The sequence below is a fragment of the Homo sapiens genome, chromosome 5 (assembly GCF_000001405.40).
Source record: "Homo sapiens chromosome 5, GRCh38.p14 Primary Assembly".
NCBI classification, from domain to species: Eukaryota; Metazoa; Chordata; class Mammalia; order Primates; family Hominidae; genus Homo; species Homo sapiens.
Genome location: NC_000005.10, coordinates 149,101,343 through 149,126,071, shown reverse-complemented (window position 1 = coordinate 149,126,071; position 24,729 = coordinate 149,101,343). Strand labels below are relative to the sequence as shown.

Genomic DNA, 24,729 nt, shown 5'->3' with positions numbered 1-24,729 from the left:
CTGGATGTAGCCAGAATCAGAATACTTCTCATGACCACTGCTACCATTGTGGGCCAAGTCAGGGCCAATAGACTCCACTCCTGCTCTTCCCTCACCCACAGTCGCTTTCCCTGGAGTGGCCAGAGTGTTCTTTGTAAAATATAAGTCGAGTCCTATCAATCTCTGCTCAAGATCCTGCTGTGGAGCACATTTCACTTAGAGTAAAAGCTGGGCTCTGAACGCAGCCAAACAGGTTTTACAAACCACATACCTCTCTCTCTGACTCGTTTCCCACTACTCTTCCTGTCCCGGACGTTCTCCGTTTGTCCCTCCAGATCCATGTTCCAGCTTTCCTCACAGTGCTCACATTCCTAGGAGACTGGCCACAGAAATCTTCAAACATTCCCTGCTGCCTTTTGCTTGCAGTTAGATCACCCGACGGCAGGCACTGGTATGGGATGGGGAGATGGTTGCTGAGAAAGGTCGGGATATTTGCTTCTCTAGTCCCTTCCCTGGCAAGCCGTGGCTGTGTTCCTTTACCGGTAGAGATGCATCCCTGTCCGCAGCCCTCTCTGTCAGCCAGCTCTCTCCAGGTTCCAGTAATCTTGCTCTCTCCTGGCCCCTTCTGGCCTACTTGTGCTGAAGGCATTTAGCTATTGCCAACTCGCAGGTGCCTGACCTTGCTGATTTACCTTAACTTTGCCCAGAGCTTTGCAAATAGTCTCTCTCTCTCTTGCTCTTTGATTACTCCTTTTTTTTTTTTTTTTGAGATGGAGTCTCACTCTCTTGCCCAGGTTCGAGTGCAGTGGCACGATCTCCGGTCACTGCAACCTCTGCCCCCTAGGTTCAAGTGATTCTCCTGCCTCAGCCTCCCAAGTAGCTGGTATTACAGGTGTGCACCATCCTGCCCGGCTAATTTTTGTATTTGTAGTAGAGACGGGGTTTCACCATGTTGGCCAGGCTGGTCTTGAACTCCTGACCTTAAGTGATCCGCCCGCCTCGGCCTTCCAAAGTGCTGGGATTACAGGCATGATGATTACTCTTTTTTAAAAGGTACCCTCTGTTTCCTGTATAACTTGGATCAATCCACTCACCCCAGCTCACTCTGTTCAATCAGCACTCTCTACCCTGGCCTTCCTCCAACATGCTGGGCATACTCCCGCCTCTGTGTCTTTGCACTGCTCTCCTATTTCCCTAGCATGCTTTTCTCCTGAGGTCCGTGGTGGTCTTTTTCTCTCATGTTCTTAAGCCTTTGCCCAGTTGTCCCTTCTCAGTGATCACATATCTCTTTGAACTAATAAAAATGTAGCTCTTTAAGGAATCTCCAGTCTGTTATCCATAGTGGTTTTACTAGCTTACATTCCCACCAGCAGTGTAGAAGTGTTCCCTTTTCATCGCATCCATGCCAACATGTATTATTTTTTGATTTTTTGATTATGGTCATTCTTGCAGAGTAAGGTGGTATCACATTATGGTTTTGATTTGCATTTCCCTGATCATTTGTGATGTTGAGCATTTTTTCATATGTTTGTTGGCCATTTGTGTATCTTCTTTTGAGAATTGTCTATTCATATTCTTAACCCACTTTTTGTTGGGATTGTTTGTTTTTCTTGCTAATTTGTTTGAGTTCTTTATAGATCCTAGATATCAGTCTTTTGTCGGATATATAGACTGTAAGGACGTAGATTTGGTCTTTTAACATAGTCCCATATTTTTTGGAGGCTTTGTTTGTTTCTTTTTACTCTCTTTCCTGTAAACTTCTCTTCTCACTTTATTTCATTAATTTGATCTTCAATCACTGATACCTTTTCTTTCACTTGATCGAATCAGCTACTGAAGCTTGTGCATGCATCACGTAGTTCTCGTGCCATGGTTTTTGGCTCCATCAGGTCATTTAAGGTCTATTCTACACTGTTTATTCTAGTTAGCCATTCATCTAATCTTTTTTCAAGGTTTTTAGCTTCCTTGCGATGGGTTCAAACATCCTCCTTTAGATCAGAAAAGTTTGCTATTACCGGCCTTCTGAAGCCTACTTCTGTCAATTTGTCAAAGTCATTCTCCGTCCAGCTTTGTTCCATTGCTGGTGAGGAGCTGTGATCCTTTGGAGAAGAAGAGGCGCTCTGGTTTTTAGAATTTTCAGCTTTTCTGCTCTGGTTTCTCCCCATCTTTATGGTTTTATCTGCCTTTGGTCTTTGATGTTGGTGACTTACAGATGGGGTTTTGGTGTGGATGTCCTTTTTGTTGATGTTGATGCTATTCCCTTCTGTTTGGTAGTTTTCCTTCTAACAGTCAGGTCCCTCAGCTACAGGTCTGTTGGAGTTTGCCAGACTTCCACTTCAGACCCTGTTTTCCTGGGTATCACCAGTGGAGGCTGCAGAAAAGCAAATATTGCAGAACAGAAAATATTGCCTGATCCTTCCTCTGGAAGCTTTGTTCCAGAGGGGCACTTGCCTGTACGAGGTATCAGTCGGCCCCTACTGGGAGGTATCTCCCATTTAGACTACACGGGGGTCAGGGACCCACTTGAGGAGGCAGCCTGTCCGTTCTCAGAGCTCAAACGCCATGCTGGGAGAAGTTTCTGCTGCCTTTTGTTCAGCTGTGCCCTGCCCTCAGAGGTGGAGTCAACAGAGGCAGCAGGCCTTGCTGAGCTGCGGCGGGCTCTGCCCAGTTCGAGCTTCCCAGGTTGCCTTGTTTACCTACTCAAGCCTCAGCAATGGCAGACACCCATCCCCCTGCCAGGCTGCTGCCTTTCAGGTCATCTCAGACTGCTGTGCTAGCAGTGAGCAAGGCTCTGTGGGCGTGGGATCCACCGAGTCAGGTGCAGGATATAATCTCCTGCTGTGCCATTTGGTGAGACCATTGGAAAAGCGCACTATTTAGGTGGGAATGTCCTGTTTTTCCAGGTACAGTCTGTCATGGCTTCCCTTGGCTAGGAAAGGGAAATCCCCTGACCCCTTGCACTTCCTGGGTGAGGCGATGCCCTGCCCGGCTTCGGCTGCACCCACTATCCAACCAGTCTCAGTGAGATGAACCAGGTACCTCAGCTGAACATGCAGAAATCACCTGTCTTCTGCATCGATCATGCTAGGAGCTGCAGACCGGAGCTGTTCCTATTCGGCCATCTTGGAATGGACCCCTGTTATTTTTGTTTTTTTTTTTTAATCTATCTCTTTAGTAAAATTTTCCTTCACATCCTGTATTGCTTTCTGATTTCTTTGTGTTGGTTTTCAACTTTTTCTTGGATCTCACTGAGCTGCTTTAAAATAAATATTTTTGAATTCCTTATCTGGTATTTCAGAGACTTTTTTGTTGTTGTTAGGATCCATTGTGGGATGGTTAGTGTGACCCTTTGCGGGTATTGTAGCACTGTACAATTTCATATATCCAGAATTGTTTCTCTGGTTCCTTCTCATCTGGGTAAATGATCTCTTCTTATTTTTGAACTTACTTTTGTTTAGAGGAGATTGTTTTCCTCTTGAGGATGTGACTATAATATGTGTTGTGTATGATCATTTGGCTTTGGTTCTCGGTACTTTCAGTGTCAAAGCCTCTGTAACAGCTCCTTGGCTTTAGATAGTATTTGTATGGTGGCTTTCTCAAATTCTGGTTGTAGCAGTGATGTACCGAGTCTGTGAGAAGGCTTGCCGTCTCCTGCATGGCTGGGATAGTGAAGGTCTCAGGAAGCTTATCTCATTCTTCGGCACCATGCACTTCTGTTAGCAGATCTTTCTTTAAAAAATTACATTGTGTATTTCAACCTGTAGATCAGTAGATGACACTTATAGGTAAGAGCTGGCTGCAGCAGCAGAAGATGGCGTATGTGTCACCTTTCTTTACCAGGAGAAGATTTCTCTGGTACCTCAGATGATGGGCTGGTCTGTGGAATGCATGGTGGCCTTAGCTTCCTGCTTAGTCACTAATGGGGGGACGGAGCTGGGCAAAGCTGAACTTCCAGTCCTGCTCTCAGATACCCCAATGGCAGGCACAAGCACCAGTCCTGACAGAGGTGGTGAGGGGAGCTCCCAATGAAATGCGCTGAAGGCTCCGTAGTGAGGTAGGTGGCTGCCGCAGCTCCTGCCTCCCTGTCATGCCCCCTCCTGGCACTCAGGACACTCAGATCAGACAGACACTGCTGTCTATCTCCAAGCTGCAATGTAGTCGAGCACCATGAAAGACATTTGTCCCATGGCTCACCTCAGATGTCTTCTGTGTGGAGCCTCCTCCCTCAGCCTCAAACGTGCAGCTTTGTGGCTCTCTTGCTGTCTGCTGCAGGAATGCTGCCACTTCATGTAGAGAGAAGGAGGGGCCCCATCTTTTGTGCAAACCTAGGCCAGGTATGTACACCACCAGTGGGGGTGCAGCCACCCCTATAACCCTAGAATGTTCATTCTCCACACATCTGCACCAACTTCCCAAGACAGCAGCCATCGCTGTTCCCACAGCAGTGGGAGTTAGGGGGAGGAGAAGTCCTCCTCTTCACATCCATGCCAGAGGACCGCAACCACCTATCTGCTGGAACAAAACCATACTCCTCCCTTGCAGAATTTCTTTCTGTGGAGAACTGGTATCTGATATCTCTAGTGAGCCCAGTGCCTGCCTCTCCACTGGAGGTAGTGCAGTTGCTCTCAGCCCAAGGGAGCTCTTGGGCACAGGAAAGTGCATGCTCTGGTCTCCTGGTCCCCAGGGGTTCCCCCTTGGTGTGCTGCACTCCCTTCTCTTAGGAGCAGCATTTCTCAAGGGCTAGACCACTGGGGACCCTGAAGCTCCCCTGGCCCAGGCAGCCCTGTGTGGCTGCCACAATCTAAGTAGGTGCCAAGGAATGTCTGCAGGGGCTCCAGTGATGTGGAAACACAGGGACTGATGTTCCCTTGGAAGGACACAGTCGTCCAATGGGTGTGCCCCAAGTATGGCACCTGCTGTTGCTGCTCAGGTCACGGGGAGGGCAGGCAACTCAGGGTGAGCTGGTGGTCTAGTGTGATGCCCTTAAGAAGTCCCCAGATCACTGTCAACACCAGTGTTTGGGTTCATGCGGGTGGAAGAGCTCTCCAACAGTTCAGATACCAGAGGTCTCCTGCAGGGATAAGGGGAGCCAAAACCACTTCCACCTATCCTTTTTGTATGTAATACCAAATCCCTTGGGGTTCCTAGCTGATCTCTGCCAGCCTCTTGCTTTCTTCTTTTTCTGTGCCCTAGCTTCTTCCCATGAGTTCTCTGCTAGGCTCCAGAACTTTCTACTTGATACTTCATTCAAGTTATGATTATTCACCTGTAACTTTGGTTCTTCTTTCTGCAGAGAACTGGTGTCTAAGATCTCTAGTAATCTATCTTGGAAAAAAAAAAAGAAAATAAGAACCCCCAACCCCCCTGAAGTTTACTTTAACTGTTAGTAATATAGTCTTGCCAGCTTTCCTTTTACTGGCATTTGAATGGCATTCCTTATTTCATTCTTTTAATTTTAACCTAGTTATATGTATCTTTATATCTATGTATTTGAATTTTCTTATTCAATCTGGAAATCCCTGAATTTTAAATGGAGAGTTTAGGCCCATATTTATTTATTTAAACTTTTATTTTAAGTTCACAGTACAAATGCAGGTTTGCTACATAGGAAAATACGTGTCATGGGGGTTTGTTGTTCAGATTATTTCATCACCCAGGTATTAAACCTAGTACCCATTAGTTATTTTTCCGATCCTCTCCCACCTCCCACCTTCCACCCTCCAATATGACCCAGTGTGTGTTGTTCCCCTCTATGTGTCCATGTGTTCTCATTATTTAGCTCTCACTTACAAGAGAGAATGTGTGATATTTGGTTTTCTGTTCCTGCATTAGTTTGCTAAGGATAATGCAGGACATTTTTATTTAATGTAATTTATCATTTGGTTGCGTTTAAATCTACCATCTTGTCATTATTTCTTTGTTCTATTTGCTCTTTGTTTTTTCCCTGTTTTCCTGTCTTCTTTTGCTTTGAGCATTTTTTAATGATTACATTTAATTTTAGAAGTACTTTTTGGTTTATGGTATTTTCAGTTGGTTGCCATATAATTTAACATCTAACTTATCAGAGGCTGCCTTTACATATAATACAGGCACCTTATAAGAGTATTTCCTTTTTGTTTCTCCTGTCTTTTGTGTTATTGTTATAATACATTTTACTGCTAAGTCTGTTTTAAACCCACATTTTTTGGCCTTAGAAAGACAATTTGAAAAGTAGCTTTATTGCATTATAATTATTATACCATACAATTTACCCTTTTAAAGCATAAAATTGAATGAATTTTAGTATATTCACAGAGTTGGGCATCCATCACCACAATTAATTTTAGAGTATTTTCATTACTGCAGAAGGAAACCTTTCACCTACTAGCTGTCACTCCCCAAATCCCCCATCCTCTCCAGCCCTAGGCAGCACTAATCTACTTTCTGTCTCTATGGATTTGACTATGTTGGATGTTTCATATAAGTGGAATTACACAATATGTGTTATTTATGTCTGGCTTCTCTTATTTTGCATAATGTTTTCCAGGTTCATCCATATTGCAGCATGTATCAGTACTTTATTTATTTTTATTGGTGAATAATATTCCATTCCCATGCTGTGTCACATTTTGTTTATCCATTTGTTGATTGATGAACATTTGGGCTTATCAGTTTTGGGCTATTATGAATAATGCTGCTATGAACATTTATGTACAGGTTTTTATGTGGACAGAATGCTTTTATTTCTCTTGAATACACATACCTAGGTTTATATACATACCTAGGTCAATGCCTACTTTTGGAGCTAGAGATGGTGTTAGCCCCACATGAACCACATATACTGAGAATGGTTAAGGATTGGCTTCTATAGGGAAATCGGGGTATTGTTTTTATAAGAAAAGGAATACTGAAAAAGGGAAAAAAATCCAATAGATGTTGACTACAAATAACTAATATTTATTCAACATTTTATATGGGCTGCAAACAGTGCTGCCTTACCTATAATATCTCACTTCATTCTCAGAACAACCCTGTAGTATATGTTCTCTCATGATGTTTACCTTCTCTGCTCACGGAATCCTATGCTAGAATCCTAAACTCAAAGCCTGCAGGGGGCATATGCAAATAAGTGCTATAAACAGGGTGGGGACTTGGAAACATAGAGAGTATCATCCTGTGTGAAGTGTAGCAAACACTTGGTGTCATCTGCTATTTTCACATGGGAATGAAGGTTCAGGGCTACAGATATTCAGAAAATCACTGTGTGGGAAAAAAGTCATGGTTTTGGAAAGGTATGGTTTACTGTTTACCTATTTTCAACCATTGTTCTAGGATATAAGAGTTCAGTAGCATCTTGCCACTCAGAATGTGTCCTCAGGCAAGTGACATTATTATTGCCTGGGACCTAGTTAGAAATGGACAGCTTGAGGCCTCCCTCAGGGCTATGAGTCAGAATCAGTGTGTAACAAGATCCCCAGGTGATTTGTGTGCCCAATAAAGTTTAAAAAGTGCCTATCTTCAAGAGTGGGGATGAACTCAGATAGCATATTAGAATCATAAGAAAAAAACAAAAACAAACAAGCAAAAAACTCAAACTCTTGCCCAAACCCCATTCTGGAAACTTAAATCAGAATTTTAGGGATGGGGTATAGGCAGCATTCCTAAAAGGTTAGTACCTTCATTTAACTATAAAGCCAGGGTTGAGAATTGCTCTTTTAGAGCAATCCTTCATTTTAGGGAGAAAAAATAAAAATCTCAAGAGGTGACAAGGTGAGGATTTCTGGTTTTGTTAATGCCCAAGTAAGTTCATATTGGTTAAACCAAAACCAAACTAAAACAAAACTATGATCTGTAGGCATTAGAGCAATAACAAAAGCAGACAGATTGCAGAGGGGAGTTGAAACTTGAAAGAAGGGCAAGTGAGAGGTGTGTTTCATTTTCTTTTTGAATTTTGATGGACAGCCGGCTATCAAACTCATTGCCTCACACAGGGTGACTAAAATTCTGACAGAACAGCTGCAGTGATTATGATCTAAAATATCAGAGGAGAGAGTTTGGAGCAATCAGTCATTAGAAAGTGAGGAGTAAACTATAGAAAGCAGAGAACCAGAGAAGGACAGCTCTAAATTCTGTGTATAAACTCTTCCTGTCTCTGGTTGACCCCTCTCCCCCAAATTCATATGGAGGGATGCTCCTAGTGCCTTACCCATGGGGAAAAACCCTGAGCTTAAATTTGAATTAATACTCCTGAGGCAGAGCTTACAGTGTGAGTCTAAACAAACTGTAATATTATAGCAAAAGAAAAACACAAACACCTTTTCAGATGAATATAACAGAATCATCAGTCTTTACAACATAATATCCATAATATCCAGAAAACAATCCAAAATTATTTGACATATGAAGGTCAGGAAAATCTTAAGAGAAGAGGAAATCAACTGAGACCAATCCTGATATAATCCATAAGCTACAACTAACAGATAGGAATTTGAAAAACAGCTATTGTAATTATTCTGGTTGAAGTGAAGAAAAATATACTTTCAACAAATAAAAATATATTCAAAATAATAGTAGACAAACATAAACCAAAAAACTATAAAAATAAACGAAGTGGAGGCTTTAGAATGTAAAATACAATCTCTAAAATCAAAATTTGCCAGGTCATTTATGAGCAGAATAGAAATAATAGAAGAAAGATTCAGTGAACTTGAAGATGGATCAATAGAAATTATCCAATCTGAAGAGGAAAAGAAAAATTTTTAAACAATGAATACAGCCTCAGGGATATGTGAGAAAATAATGAAAGATCTAACATTGTGTAACTGGAACCCCAAGGTAAGAGGAGAGATAGAATTGAGTAGTTTTTTTTTTTTTTTTTTTTGAGACGGAGTTTCACTCTTGTTTCCCAGGCTGGAGTACAATGGCATGATTTCGGCTCACTGCAACCTGTGACTCCCGGGTTCAAGCGATTCTCTAGCCTCAGCCTCCCAAAGTAGCTGGGATTACAGGTGCCTGCCTCTACACCCAGCGAATTTTTGTATTTTTAGTAGAGATGGAGTTTCACCATGTTGGCCAGGCCGGTCTTGAACTCCTGACCTCAGGTGATCCGCCCGCCTCAGTCTCTCAAAATGCTGGGATTACAGGCGTGAGCCACCGTGCCCAGGAGATATTTTTTTGAAAGGTACAAATTCTTAAGAATCTCAATAAACCATAACTTAGGATAAATGAGAAGAAGAGTGCACCTTGTCACATCATAGTCAAAGTGTTGAAATCTAAAGGTAAAGAGAAAATATTGAAAAAGCCAGAGAAAAAGACACATTACATTAAATAGAATATCAATTCCAAAGATCTCTGACTTCTCATCAGAAATCATGGAGGCCAGAAGAGTGTGAAACAGCACTCTAATTAAAATGGACAGTCTATCAGAATTTATTTTTAAAAAGTAAGATTCAATTATATACTATTCAGAAGTTATAATTTAAGTATAAAGAGAGGTTAAAAGCAAATGGATTGAAAAAGATATATCATGTAAACTGCAGAGCACAAGAAGTTTAAAGTGGCTATATTAATACCCCAAAAGACATATAATCATGAAGGCGTGTGCTGAATAATAGACGTTCAAAATATACAAGAAGATGTGAGGGCAAGCTGGCTGCAACATCCGTCACCCCATTGATCTTCAGGGTTGATTTGGCTGATCTGGCTGGCTAGGTGGGTGTCCTCTTCCTCCCTCACCACTCCACATGCATCCCTCCCGGAGCTGTGTGCTTGGTAGTAGAGGATGACCATCCCCAATAGAGAAGGACCAGTCTTGGGTCAAGGGTATACCAGTAGCTGTGCTGATAGGACCTCCAAACAAGCTCTCAAAATATACAAAGAAGCAATTGAGAAAATTAAAGGAAGAAATAGAAATTCCACAATCAGAGGCTGTCATCTAAATGGCCTGTGAGGCCAGGACAGCAATAATGATAAAAGCTCCCGAGGTGGGGCTGGTGGGCAGCCAAGGTGAGAACATTGCTCTGAACCACCCCATCATGTTACCGCAGGGGGAAATGAGGACCCCAGGGGTGAAGAGGCTGAACCCAAGGCCTTCCCTCTGGAACCTCAGAATCCTGACATCAAATCCAGTGAGCTTTGGTTAAATGCCCTGGTGATTTTAAATCCTGACATTAAATCCGATGAGTTCTGGTGAGAGGTTCCAGTGCAAGAGAGAGAGAACAAAGATAATGGAAAACAGGAAGGAGGAAGAACCATGGAGGATGCCTCCATTTACAGAGTGAAGGAAGAGAGAATGCAGAGAGGAGACAGAGGAGCCACAGAGAGGAAGAAATAAGCCACGGGGGAGATGGGGGCTGACACTGCTGCTGTCCTCAGAGAGGCACAGCAGGGCCAACTGAGGAAAGACCTTCAGGGCCAGCCATTAGGAGGTCATCCAGAAGCACAGTAGCTAAATGGCTTACAGAGTTCTGGAGTAAGGCTGCCCAAAAAGCATTCGTGACCATGTGAGTGCAGCTGGTGCTTCCACTGGCTTACCAGCTCTGTGACTTTGGACACATACATTTATCTCTCCATGCCTCAGTTTTCTCATCTGTAAAATGCGTAGAATGTTAGCACTTGTCATGAGTTTAAATGAGTTAATAATACACACAAAGCCCTCAGAATGGTGCCTGGCACAGTGTGTGTGTGTATGATTCACAGGCACTTGTTCTTATTGTTGTTTGTGCCATTGCATTGTTGTGGGTGGTGATCTTGAGAGGCAGTTTTAACAGGATATTGGAGACAGCTGTCATTTTCATAACTTATATTTGGACTTCTGGACCTCACGCTAATTTACCTCAAATGACAGTAAGTCAGCACTACTGAATTAATTCATTCATCACATTTCACTTGCTTAGTTTTAAGGGGTCCTCTCACACTGAAGAACAGCGTCCTCTGTGCTGTGTGAGGTGGACTACAACATTCTCCTGTGCCTGGTCAGCTGTGGGACCCAATGCACCAGAGATTGCACAATTGGTACAGAAGGGGGAAATGAGCCAGAAAACAGGGACGGGTGGCACAAGGAGAAGAGGGGAACTGGCTCCTTGCATATCCCCCAAAGCACTATCCAGATATCGGAGCTCCTTGAATCACAGCAACCGAAGGCTGGATTTTGAGCTCAGAGGAATGACCCAGCTCCACACAAGCAAGCAGCCAAGGAGCTGAAGTCTCTGCACTCTGCCTTCTGTCTGGCCACTGGGTGTCACTCTTCATCTATGTTCCTTTGGTGTCAGGGTTCTGAGAAGAAATTCAGCCTTTGCTGTTCTCTCCCTGTGCTGATATTTACCCCTAGAAGCTTCTACTGGCCAGACAGGCAGTATATTGAGAGTGAAATCGCATCAGGAAGCTGACTTCTGATCCACACATGGGAAACCAGCCTGCTTGTCATGAAAGTAAGGAGATTCCAGCCTCAGTAACTAATTCTACAGCAATAGCAGTTGAAAACAAGTCTTAGAAGCATTGAGCAGACATTCTAATGAAGTAGATATGTTACTGAGCTTGGCCAAGGTGGCTATGGGAATCTTACATCTGTGAAGGTGACAGGACTTGCTTTTTCATATTGACATTTAAGAATATTTTGTATCCAAATGTGTTTGTGTGTCTCTGTGTATGTGCGTGTGAGTGTGTGTACTTATTTAAAGGAAATAGCAGGTTTCAGATACAGTTGAGGTCTCCTTTATAGCCCTCCTTAATCACATTCCCCTTCCTTCCACCCTAGAGGCATTCTCTCTTCTGATGTAAGTGGTCTTTCTCCTGTCCATATTCTGATGCTCTTATTAAATCTGTACATGTTCATAAATATTTAACAGTATGGCTTTGTACATTTAAAAGTTTATACAAATTGTTGCCCAATACCATTTACTTGTGCTGTCTGTATAATTCCATTTTCTTTTTGTTTCTAATTTTATTAGAATTTTGCTGTCAGTTTAATAGTCATTTCTTTGCAGTTTAGTCTGTGTTTTTTCTCCCTTTTTAAAAAAAGTTGTGATAAGAACACTTACTATGAAGTCTACCTTTTAACATGCTTATTCTATCTCTTTCATTCATAGTTTTTTAATTTCTCATTCTTGCAGTGCTGGTTCACTGATCAGTTGCATCTGTTGTTTTTTTTCTCTTGGTGTTCAATTTCCTTATTTGATTTGTATCTGTTTTAACTATGAACTACTTTGAACTATAGTCATGCATTGCTTAACTCTGGATTCATTCTTGAGAAACGAGTCATTAGATGATTTTCTTGTTGTGTGAACATCATAGAGTGTACTTTCGCAAACCTAGGTGGTATAGCCTACTGCATACCTAGAGTATAATATTGCCTAATGCTCCTAAGCTACAATCCTATACAACATGTTACTTTCCTGAATACTGTAGGCAATTGTAACACAATGGTATTTATTTGTCTAAACATAGAAAAGGTACAGCAAAAATACAGTATAAAAGATAAAAAATGGTACATTTGTATAGAGCATTTACCATGAATAGATATTGCAGGAATGGAAGTTGCTCTGGGTGAGTTAGTGAATATGAAGGCTTAGAACATTACTGTATACTACTGCAGAAAAAATTAGCCGGGCATGGTGGTGGACGCCTGCAATTTCAGCTACTCGGGAGGCTGAGGCAGGAGAATTGCTTGAACCCAGAAGGCGGAGGTTGCAGTGAGCTGAGATCAACACTGTACAGTTAGGCTACACTAAATTTATATAAAAAAAATTCTTCCTTCAATAATTAATTAACTTTAGCTTACTATAGCTTCTTAACTTTATAATCTTTAATTTTTTAAAACTTCTTGATTCTTTTGTAATAACACCTAGCTGAATGCACAAACACATTGTAAGCAGTACAAAACTTTTTTTTTATTTATATCCTTATGGATATGGTTTGGCTCCGTGTCCCCTCCCAAATCTTGTGTTCAATTGTAATCCTCAGTGTTGGGGGAGGCATCTGCTGGGAGGTGATTAGATCATGGGGGTGGATTTCCTCTTACTGTTCTCATGATAGTGAGTGAGTTCTCACAAGATCTGATGGTTTAAAAGTCTGTGGCACTTCTCCCTGTTGCTCTTTCTCTCTCCTGTCACCTTGTGAAGAAGGTGCTTTCTTACACTTTGCCTTCTGCCATGATTGTAAGTTTCCTGAGGACTCCCAGTCATGCTTCGTGTTAAGCGTGTGGAACTGTGAGTCAATTAAACTTCTTTTCTTCATAAATCATCCAGTCTCAGGTAGTTCTTTATAGCAGTGTGGAAATGGACTAATACACTTATTCTGTAAGACTTTTTTTCTATTTTTAAAATTATTTACTTTTTTTTAACTTTTGAAACTTTTTTGTTAAAAAATGAAGATACAAACACACACATTAGCCTAGGCCTACACAGGGTCAGGATCATCAAGATGTCACTAGGTGATAGGAATTTTTCAGCTCCATTTGTAATCTTATGGGATCACTGTCATATATGTGGCCTGTCATTGACCAAAATGTCATTATGCAGTGCATGACTGTATTCTTCAGCGTTTTAAGAAAATGGGCTTCATGTGAACCCCGCACTATGAAAATATCCTTAAGGAGTTGTTTTTGCCATTGTTTCTGTTGTATTCTTAGAGAATCAACATCCAGAAACCAGTTTTTGTCACTAACTCCTCTGAATGGGGTTCCTGCACAATGCATGGTACTTTCTCAAGGTGCAGGCCTGGGTGTTTGACTTTTCCTTGTAAGGCCTCTAACAGATGCAAAGCTTCTTCAGGGTCTTCTCCTGTCAAAGGAAGTTTTCCAATTCCTTTTTGATGGAACATCAACCCTTCCAGCCTGCAGGCTTTCTGTAGGGAGCAAATTTCCCACTCCCTGGCTTCACATGGGCTCAAGGTCATTGTTAACAGGTGGGGGCAACAGAAGGCTAGCCCCCAGCTCTGTGGACCAGTGTAGGCTGAGAAACTCCAGGATCTCCATGGCATCTATTTTCACCTCCTGATCGGGCTCTGATCACCGATTTCTGCTTTTGTTTCTGGCTCCCGGGTCTGTCTGTTCTGTTTCTTTCTTTCTTTCTTTCTTTCTTTCTTTCTTTCTTTCTTTCTTTCTTTCTTTCTTTCTTTCTTTCTTTCTTTCTTTCTTTCTTTCTCTTTCTTTCTCTTTCTCTCTCTCTCTTTTTCTCTTTCTTTCTGTCTCTCTCTCTTTCCTTCCTTCCTTTCTTTTTCTCTCTCTTTCTCTCTCTCTCTTTCTTTCTCTTTTCTCTCTCCTTTCTGTCTCTCCTTTCTTTCTCTCTTTTCTTTCTTTCTCTTTCTTCTGTCTTTCTCTCTCTCCTCTTCTCTCCTCTTCTCTTCTCTTCTCTTCTCTTCTCTTCTCTTCTCTTCTCTTCTCTTCTCTTCTCTTCCTCCTCCTCCTCCTCCTCTCTCTCTCTCTCTTGTTCTTTCTCTCTTTTTTATTCTCAGAATCTTGCAGTGGCATGATCATGGCTCACTGCAGCCTTCACTTCCTGGCTCAAGTGATTCTCCCGCCTCAGCCTCCCAAGCACCTGGGGCTACAGGTGAACATTATCATGCCCAGCTAAGTTTTTGATTTTTTGTAGAAATGGGGTCTCCCTATGTTGCCTAGGCTAATCTCAAACTTCTGGGGTCAAGCAACCCTCCCTGCCTCAGCCTCCCAAAGTGCTGGGATTACAAGCATGAGCCACTGTCCCTGCCAACCCTTTTTTTTCTTAAAGCTAAATATGCATTAAAATATTTATGTTTGTCACACTTTATCCTGGCTTGACCTTAAGCAATTCTATTTCTTTTCTGTTTTTCTTATCAGTGGTTTTCAAGCAGGGTCACCTGTGCTGTGGGAAGGATCAGTGGCAGGACTGCAGACCCCTGCCCTCTCCTCTGCTTTAAACAGGGCAGTTCTTCCTGTGTCCTGCTCCATGACAGACCAGCTGTGTGACCCTGGCAAGTACTTCATCTCTTTATGCCTGTTTCTACACCTGTAAAAAGGGGACAGTGGTAATGCCTGCCTCACAGGAATGTTATGAGGATTAAGTGAGATAATACATAGAAAGCACTCAGATTAGTGCCTGGTTCGAAGTAATCACTCAGTAGGTGATCCTTATGGTTATTGAGCTCCAAGTTTTATTATTTTTAAATAATTATTCTGAATGAAAAAACAATGTGTTTTTAGATCTAGAAATGGCTTTAAAAGCACTGCACTTTCTAGACTGGCTATTGTACTTTTTAAGGACATTCTGGTTTGAAAATTCTTTACTTCTATGTCAACTCTATAGTAGGAAAGTTAGTTTTAGCCAAGTTTGAAGCCTACCAGAGTGGGTATAAAGATCTCTATTGTTTATAATTATTTTTTTTTCCAGCCCCCTGACATCTTTCAACCCCACTTTCCATCCTTTAGCAATTATACTTTTTCTTAGTGATTCACAGTGAATTTGTCCTAAGTCATGGAATCAAGTTTTAATGGTTATGCAAGCTTCTATCTGACCGAAGCCAGCCTTGCTTCCTGGTTCTTCAACTTTGTGTCACCTCTGTTTAGATTTTATGCTGAAATCACCTAACCACAAAGGAATCTTATTTAATGGTCCCTCTCTAACCCTTACGTTTATGGCAACTTCTTCTACATTTCCCATGCAAGCAGGGTCTATGTCGTCTCACCGAAAGGATAGGAGTTAAGGAAAGGGCTTTGCTTTGTTTCATGAGAGAAGGTGCTATTGGGAGAGGCATTTTTATTCCCACACAGCAATTATTCAGCACAATTTTCCATTGATGAGCTGGTGGTAGCTCTTCTTATTTGGCAGTGTGACTGCATTATGGGCTAGTGAGAGCATGAGTTGGGGTTTGGCGGTGAGCAATGAAGGTTGAGGATCTCCCCAGGATTTTCACCACATCACAGTGTGATGCGCAGATGGTGGAAGGTCTCAGACCTTGCACCTTTATTTTTCCCCTTGGCCTTAATTCAGGTGCAGAAACTCTACATTTTCAGTGACAAGTGAGATGCTCTCTTTGGATCATGGAAGTGACAAGAAGTCAGAGTGTGCCGCCTACCTAGCATGATGCTCATGGACTGATATAACATCTGCCTACCAGCTGACTCTATATTCCTAATATCTTCTGGAGATCCAGGCTCATCAGGATTAATTGAGTTTTTCTAACTGGGAATAGGGTGGTTCAGTCTGGATTAGAGTTCAGGGCATCCATGAATTTGGGGTTATAGTCACTATTCAGCTTGATGACTTTCATAGTATTTGATTGGTGTAAAAATTCCAGGATTACATAAAACATGTCTTATGTCCAGTGGAAGTAGGTAGAATAATAGGCCAGGCCTGCCCAATCTCTTAACTCTATTTAAGATTTGAGGATATAAGGTGCCTGAGAGTAGGACAGGGGTCACTAAGAAAAAAAGTCTGTGATTATTTTAGCTCAGGGAGGCTGGTGATCACCTCGGCTTACTATAAAGCTTTTCTACTCACAGCATAATCTCTGCAGTCATCTTGACATTCCGTTACTTGGGAGAGGATGGTCAGTGCCAGTCCTGGGATGTTATAAATATGTCAAGGGCAGGCAACGGGGAAAATGTATGCTCTTTCTTCCCAGTCCTTGTAAGGGACAAATGCTTGACACTTTCTTCAGAAAGCTGACATCTGTCTTCCTGTCAAAATGAATCAGGGTCTCATTAGTCAAAGACAATGCTATGCTTCCATCACTGTGCACAAGGTGGCATGGGCACTGGGTTGTCCATGATGAGATGATAACCACATTAGATAAGGTCCTTCTGTTGGTTCATAGCATCAACTCATGACTATCCAGGGTACCTATGAGACTGCTGCATTATTCCATGCAGCATGGTGCTCCAACTTTGGCTTGTATGAGTTTTATCAAGGTTGTTTCTTAGAAAGTCAGACTTCTGGGTTGCAACTATAATAATTTGGATTGAGTCAGTCTCAGATAGAGCTAGGGTTTCTGATGTAATACTGATGCAGATGGGTGATGGTCACAGTAGTGTTCTGGAGCCAGCATGTACCAGCCCTTGAGACCTGATTATTAAATACACAGGAATTTTGTGAGCTGGTTATTTAACATTGGTAGCATGAAATTAACCATGCTGGTAGTATTTATACCATGGAAACTGGCAAATAATACAAATCAGAGCCTTTTTTTTTCTGGATTGCTGGTTTACCAGCACACCATTAATCATGACAACTGTTTCAGTGTTGTGAGACCAGAGCTGGACTGTGACTTGGGAGAAGAAAATGTTTGCTTTGGAAAGTCCTCTAATGTGCTTCACCATCTTATGCAAGTCCATTTTCATCTCTGGGCCCAAGGTTTCCTTTATAAAATAAGAGCATTAGACTAGATCAATTTTCAACCCGGGTTGTACAATAGTCATTTGGAGCTGTCTGATCAAGACTGAAATCTGGGCCTCGCTCCCAGAAGTCTGGAGCCTCAGACTAGCATGGGATTTCAGCACACTGCACGTGTATGTATAAAATATTTTTGGGAGAGTGTACTTGCCACCACGGTTGAGAACTATTAATCTAGATGATGTCCACTGTTCCTTGAAGTTCTAGATTCTCAGCCTGTGCAATACTATGTTGCCTTATATTTCATTTTTGCCTTAATCCCTATCATGAAAGAAGAGTTCTTCTGCATAAGAGCATTTTACAGACAATTAAAGAATACACTAATAAATATCAGTCTTTTTTTTTTTTTGTGATGGAGTTTTACTCTTATTGCCCAGGCTGGAGTGTAGCGGCGTGATCTCACCTCACAGTAACCTCTGCCTCCCGGATTGAAGCGATTCTCCTGCCTCAGCCTCCCGAGTAGCTGAGATTACAGGTGTCCACCACCATGCCCGGCTGACTTTTTGTATTTTTAATAGAGATGGGTTTTTAAAAACTTTTTTTTATTATACTTTAAGTTCTAGGGTACATGTGCACAATGTGCAGGTTTGTTACATATGTATACATGTGCCATGTTGGTGTGCTGCACCCATTAACTCGTCATTTACGTTAGGTATATCTCCAAATGCTATCCCTCCCACCTCCCCTGATCCCATGGCAGGCCCTGGTGTGTGGTGTTCCCCACCCTGTGTCCAAGTGTTCTCATTGTTCATTTCCCACCTGCGAGTGAGAACATGCGGTGTTTGGTTTTCTGTCCTTGTGATAGTTTGCTGAGAATGATGGTTTCCAGCTTCATCCATGTCCCTACAAAGGACAGGAACTCATCCTTTTTTATGGCTGCATAGTATTCCATGGTGTATATGTGCCACATTTTCTTAATCCAGTCTATCATTGTTGGACATTTGGGTTGGTTCCAAGTCTTTGCTATTGTGAATAGTGCCACAATAAACATATGTGTGCATGTGTCTTTATAGCAGCATGATTTATAATCCTTTGGGTATATACCCAGTAATGGGATGGCTGGGTCAAATGGTATTTCTAGTTCTAGATCCTTGAGGAATTGCCACACTGTCTTCCACAATGGTTGAACTAGTTTACAGTCCCACCAACAGTGTAAAAGTGTTCCTATTTCTCCACATCCTCTCCAGCACCTGTTGTTTCCTGACTTTTTAATGATCGCCATTCTAACTGGTGTGAGATGGTATCTCATTGTGGTTTTGATTTGCATTTAGAGACGGGGTTTTACCATGTTGGCCAGGCTGGTCTTGAATTCCTGACCTCAGGTGATCCACCTGCCTCGGCTTCCCAAAGTGCTGGGATTACAGGTATGAGCCACCATGCCCAATCTAAATGCCATTCTTTTAAAACATTTGCTCTATTTATTTATTTTTCTTAAGCAGAAGAATCAGAAGAAAATTTTTTTTTTATATTTTAGAGTCACCATTATGGATGAGCATTGTTCATTTATATAACAAATATTTATTTGGCATCTATTGTGTGTTAGGCGTCTATTATAGAAGTGACATAGAGAAGTAGAAAGATTGCTGGACTAGAGTTCAGGGCAAAATAATATTAATAATGGCTAATATTTATTAATATTATATTACATACAATTTACTGTCCTAAACATTATAGTTTTATCACCTCATTTAATCCTCACTACAATCTTCTGAGGCAGGTAAAATTAAATCCCTATTTTACAGATGAGGAAACCAATGAACAAAAAAGATCTTCACTTTCTCAAGGTCACACAACTGGTTGGGGCAGAGGTAAGATTCAAACCAGGCCCTGATATTTCTGTGTGATCTGCGACAAGATTTTTCCCTCCAAATCCTTGGTTTCCTGTTATGCTAGGTGATCTCTGAGGATTCTTCAAGCCTCACAATTCTCAAGTCCATGTCCTCCCTCATGTGCGCCATGGAAAGCCTGTGTATCTTCATTGGCCTGGGGGAGAAAAACAAGGCTGCTGATGCCTGGCTCAGGGATGAATTATGCAATTTACAGTCACCAACACTAGATTACAAAATATATGCCCTGAAGTCCATGTTCACTAACATATTTCTTTTTTCAGTAAATATTGTAGATATGTAGTATGTTTAAGCACTAAAGATTCACTGTTATAAAGAGACCAGCTTACCATTCATTAAGTAAATGAATAAATAGATAATTGCAAAGTAAGACAGTAGAATGAAGGAAATGTACAAGGGGGTAGGGACAAGTAATCTGAAGATAAAATATTTCAGTTATAAGACTGGAAGGATGAGTGAGACCCAGCCATGGAAAACCAGAGGCAAGAACCAATCCAGATGTAGCAATAGCACATTCAAGGGTCCTGAGGCTGGAAAGCACATGGTGAGTTCAGGGAGGCCAGTGCAGCTGGAACATCAGGGCCAGGGAAAGGCTTGCACAAAATAAGTTGGAGAGGAGGCTCCTGAACTGTAAAGCATTTAATCATAAAATAACAGGTGCTGTTTTATTTGATACCAATCTGTTGACATAAGTGAGATAGATTGGATGGAGCCATTGAACAGCGGAAAGGGTTCTCATACATAGAGTACACAGATCTCAAGTGTATATCTCCATATTTCAACAGCACAGTCAAGATAGAGGACAGCTTTTATCACTGGAGAGTCCCCTTATGTCCTTTCCCAATGAATATCATCCCCAGTGTACATCCCCACTCCAGAGACAACCAAGCATTCGTTCAGTCTGTTGGACTTCATACAAATGGATTCATGTAGTATGTATTCTTTTGTGGTTGGCTACGTCCCCTTTGCATAATAGTTTTGAGATTTATCCATGTTGTTGGTTGTATTAGTAATTGATTCCTTTTTATCCATAGGCTACATGACGTGAGATATCACAAATATTTGATTTTTACTCTTAACAGTTTTGGAAGGAACTTCAATGATCCAGCCACAGAGCCCTGTGATTAACCCCCCTGCAGTATTCCACCAAGTATTCATGAATGGAAACACTTCCCTTGATGGAGGGGTTAGGGTCTCCCAAGGCCATTCATCCTGCTCTCTTTGCTTAACTCTTAAAATGAGGTCAATGCATATTCCAGTGCCTCTAGGACACAAAATAATTGGCCCTGCATATCTGTGGGTTCTGCATCCATAGATTCAACCAACAGCAGATTGAGAATATTCAGGAAAAAAAGGGTGGTCATGTTTATGCTGAATACGTATATAGACTTTTTTCTTGTTATTATTCCCTAAAGAATACAGTGTAACAACTATTTGCATGGCATTTATATTTATTAGGTATTATAAGTAACCTAGAGATGATTTAAAGCATACAGAAAGATGTGCATAGGTTATATGTAAACACTACACCATTTTATATCAGGGACTTGAGCATCTGTGGATTTTGGTATCTGTAGGGGTCCTGGAACCAACCCTCTACAGATACTGAAGGACAACTGTACTCACACCCTCTGATTATTTGAAAAAAAGATGTGAGCCTAGAGTGGCATTTTTCTTACTATTTGTGTTTTTAGTATTCAATATTATAGGCCATATTTTCTTAAAAAAAATTAAAAGTATTTTTCCTTTGTTTCAGGAATACTCAGTGTTATGGTATTAACAAGCCTAGAGTTCCTGAGGATTCCAGAGAGATGAAGCCCAGAGCTGGTCACCTGTCCTCTTATTTCTTACTAACTGGGAAAATAGTTGACCACTGCTCATTTCTGTCCTCTTTGAGAGAGACAGGGGCTCCCAAGGTAGTATTTTTCTGGCAAAATTGAGAAGCAACAGGCAAAGTACAGCCTACATGTATCTGAATGTATGCAGATGAAAAGATGTGACATGACCATTGACTAAAGAAAAACACAAGCAAGCTTTTAAAGAATTAAAGTTAGTTTTATTTAGAAGTCTTACTGAGGCCTATGGAGGCCTATGGACTGAGGCATATATGCTGGGAGGAGACTTTTAGAGAGGTTCTGTTAGACACCTCCAAAGCAGTGTTTAGTCCATTGCTTATACAGGTGTTGGGGATTCGGCACATGCAAAATCACATCAAATGAGTACAAGAGCACATCTGATTACGGTTTGCAGGGGCATAATGCCTAATCTTGGCAGGTGTTATCTTATGTGTAAGTAAAGACAGGGGCCAGAGTCATTTCTTTTTTAAGAAATATAGTGACTCAAGCAAGAGTTATGGAGGCTGTGTGTGTTCTATCCCGTTTTGTCTTCAAAGCATCTTCCGGAGAGCTGCATTTCATCACAGATAGGGGTTTAAGCAAAAATGAGCAAATATTACTTCTTATGTTTGCTACTTTGCCTCAACACAGCATGATAGAGTCTGAAGAATTTTGCTCTTTTCAAAGTTCTTTGGCTGTATGAGGCTGTCGTGTTATGAAATACATATTTGGTGTTGGTCCCCAAGTCCAGACATACTATTCCTAAACCCCTTGGAATCTCCAGAGTGATAAAAGTGTCTTAAATCCCTAGATAGTTTCAGGGTGGGGGCTGGTTGGCAAAAGGACATGAAGGCATGACTAGAGGGTTGGGACTTTCAGCTCCAGCTCCCCACTTTTAGGGAGAAGCGAGGGGCAAAGGGCTGAGAGTTGAGTTGATCACCAATGGTGATTTAATCAATTATGCCTATAGAATGAAGCTTTCATAAAAACCTTAAAGGATTAGGCTCAGGAGCTTCTGGATAGCTGAGCATGAGGAGGTTCCTAGAGGGTGGTATGCCTAGAAAGGACATGAAGGCTTCATGCCCCTTCAACATGCCTTGCCCTATCCATCTCTTCATCTGTCCATTTATGTGTATCATTTATTATATGTTTTATTAATAAACTAGTAGACATAAGCAAAGTGTTTCCCTGAATGCTGTGAGCCACTATAGAAAATTAATGAAATCCAAGCAGGAGGTCCTAGGAACTGTGACTTGTGTCTGAAGTGGACACAGTCTTGTAAAACTGAGCCCTTACCCTATGGGAGCTGGTGCAATCTATGAGTAGATAGTGTCAGAATTGAATTGAATAAGAGGACACCTAACTGAATAATCTGCTGGAAAATTGACTGACTGCTGGTGGGAAGAAATCCCCACACATGTGCCTGTTGGCCCTTTGTATGTCTTCTTTTGAGAAATGTCTATTCATGCCTTTTACCCACTTTGTAATGGGATTATTGTTATTATTTTTTAACTATTGAGTTGTTTGAGTTCTTTGTATATGCTGGATGGTAGTCCCTAGTTAGATGAATAGTTTGCAGATATTTTCTCCCATTAGCAGGTTGTCTCTTCACTCTGTTGATTGTTTTCTTTGCTGTGCAGAAGCTTTTTAGTTTAGTATAGTCCCATTTGATGCATTTTGAGACAGTGTCTCAAATGTCTTGCTCTGTCACTCAGGCTGGAGTTCCACGGTGCTGTCATAGCACACTGCAGCCTTGACCTCCTAGGCTCAAGCGATACTCCCACCTCAGTCTTCTGAGTAGCTAGAACTGCAAGTTCATGACACCAGCTTGCCTGGCTAATTAAATTTTATTTTTATTTTTTTTGTAGAGATGGCACCTCTGTATGTTGGCCAGGTTGGTCTTGAATTTCTGCCCACAAGCAATCCTTTTTGGCTTCTCAAAGTGCTGGAATTACAAGTGTGAACCACCATGACTGGCCTTTATTTTATTTTTTGTGTAGCCATTGTAAGTGGAATTGCCTTCTTTATTTTATTCTCAAGTATTTCGTTATTGGTGTGTAGAATTGCTACTGATTTTTGTATGCTAATTTTGTATTCTGTAACTTTATCAAATTTATTTATATCTAAGAGTTTTTTGGTGGAGTCTTCAGGATTTTCTAGACATAAGATTGTATTATCTGCAAAGAGAAACAATTTGATTTCCTCTTTTGCAATTTGGATGCTTTTTCTTTCCCTTGTCTGATTGTTCTGAGCAGGACTTGCAGTACTATGTTGAATAGGAGTGGTAAAAGTGGACATTCTTGTCTTGTTCCAGTTCTTAGAAGAAAGGCTTTCAGCTTTTTCCCACTTAGTATAATGTTAGCTGTGGGTTTGTTATATGTGGCCTTTATTATGTTGGGGAATGTTCTTTTAATGCCTGGTTTACTGAGAGTTTTTATAAGAAAGTCATGTTGAATTTTGTCAAATGCTTTTTCTGCATCCATTAAGATGATCATATGAGTTTTGTTCTTCATTCTGTTGATGTGATAGATCATGTTTATTGATTTATATATATTGATCCATCCTTGCATCCTTGGGACAAATCCCACTTGATCGTGGTGTTTATCTTTTTGTTGTGTTGTTGGATTCAATTTGCTAGTATTTTGCTGAGGATTTTGCATCTATGTTCCTCAAGGGTATTGGCCTGTAGTTTTTGTTGTTGTTGCATCCTTATCTGTTTTTGATATCAGGTTAATGCTGATCTCGTAGAATGAGTTAGAAAGAGTTCCGTCCTCTTCAAGTTTTTGGAATAGTTTGAGGAGAATGGTGTGAGTTCTCCTTTGAAAGTTTGGTAGTATTCAGCAGTGAAGCCATCATTCCTGAACTTTTCTTTGTTGGAAGGTTTTTATCACTGATTCAATCTCATTACTTGTTATTGGTCTGTTCAAGTTTTTAATTTCTTTCTAATTTAATATTGGTAGGTTTTATGTGTCCAGAATTTATCCATTTCTTGTAGGTTTTCCAGTTTGTCAGCATATAGTTGTTCATAACAGTCTTTGATGATTTTTTGTATCTCTTTGGTATCAGTTGTAATGTTTCCTTTCCATTTCTGATTTTGTTTATTTGGGACTTTTGCCTTTTTTTCTTGGTTGGTCTAGCTAGCGGTTTATTGATTTTGTTTATCTTTCCAAAAAATAACTTTTGATATCATTGACTCTTTGTAGCTTTTTCGCCTCTATTTCATTTAGTTCTGTTCTGATTTTTTTTTTTTTTACTTCTACTAATTTTTGGTTGGTTTATTCTTGCTTTTCTAATTCCTTGAGTGCATCCTTTAGATTGTTTGTTTGGAATCTTTCTATTTTTTTGATGTAGGTATTTAGTGCTAGAAGCTTCCCTCTTAGCACTACTTTTGCTGTGTTTCATAGGTTTTGGTATGACAATTTTTGCTTTTCATTTGTTTCAAGGAATCTTCTTACTTCCTCATTAACTTCTTCCTTGACCCAGTGGTAGTTCAGGAGCATATTGTTTAATTCTTATGTATTTGTAGTTTTCCAAGTTCCCTTTATTATTGATTTCTAGTTTTATTCCACTGTGATCTTAGCAGATAGTTGATATAATTTTAATTTTAAAAAATTTGTTGAGACTTGTTTTGTGTCCTAATATATGGTCTGTCCTAGAGGATGTTCTGTGTGCTAATGAGAAGAATGTGTATTTTGTAGCTGCAGTTGAAACGTTCTGTAAATGTCT

The 24,729-nt window shown here is 40.9% G+C and overlaps 1 long non-coding RNA gene and 1 pseudogene across 1 annotated transcript in view; one reads left to right on the top strand and one right to left on the bottom strand.

Annotated features, from left to right (window-relative positions):
- RN7SKP145 (RN7SK pseudogene 145) lies at positions 9,592-9,894 on the top strand (annotated as a pseudogene).
- SH3TC2-DT (SH3TC2 divergent transcript) overlaps positions 16,285-24,729 on the bottom strand; it is a 46,471-nt gene continuing 38,026 nt past the window's right edge. The window contains exon 3 of the long non-coding RNA NR_122044.1: positions 16,285-16,609. This is a non-coding gene — a long non-coding RNA (SH3TC2 divergent transcript). The remainder of the gene's footprint in view (positions 16,610-24,729) is intronic.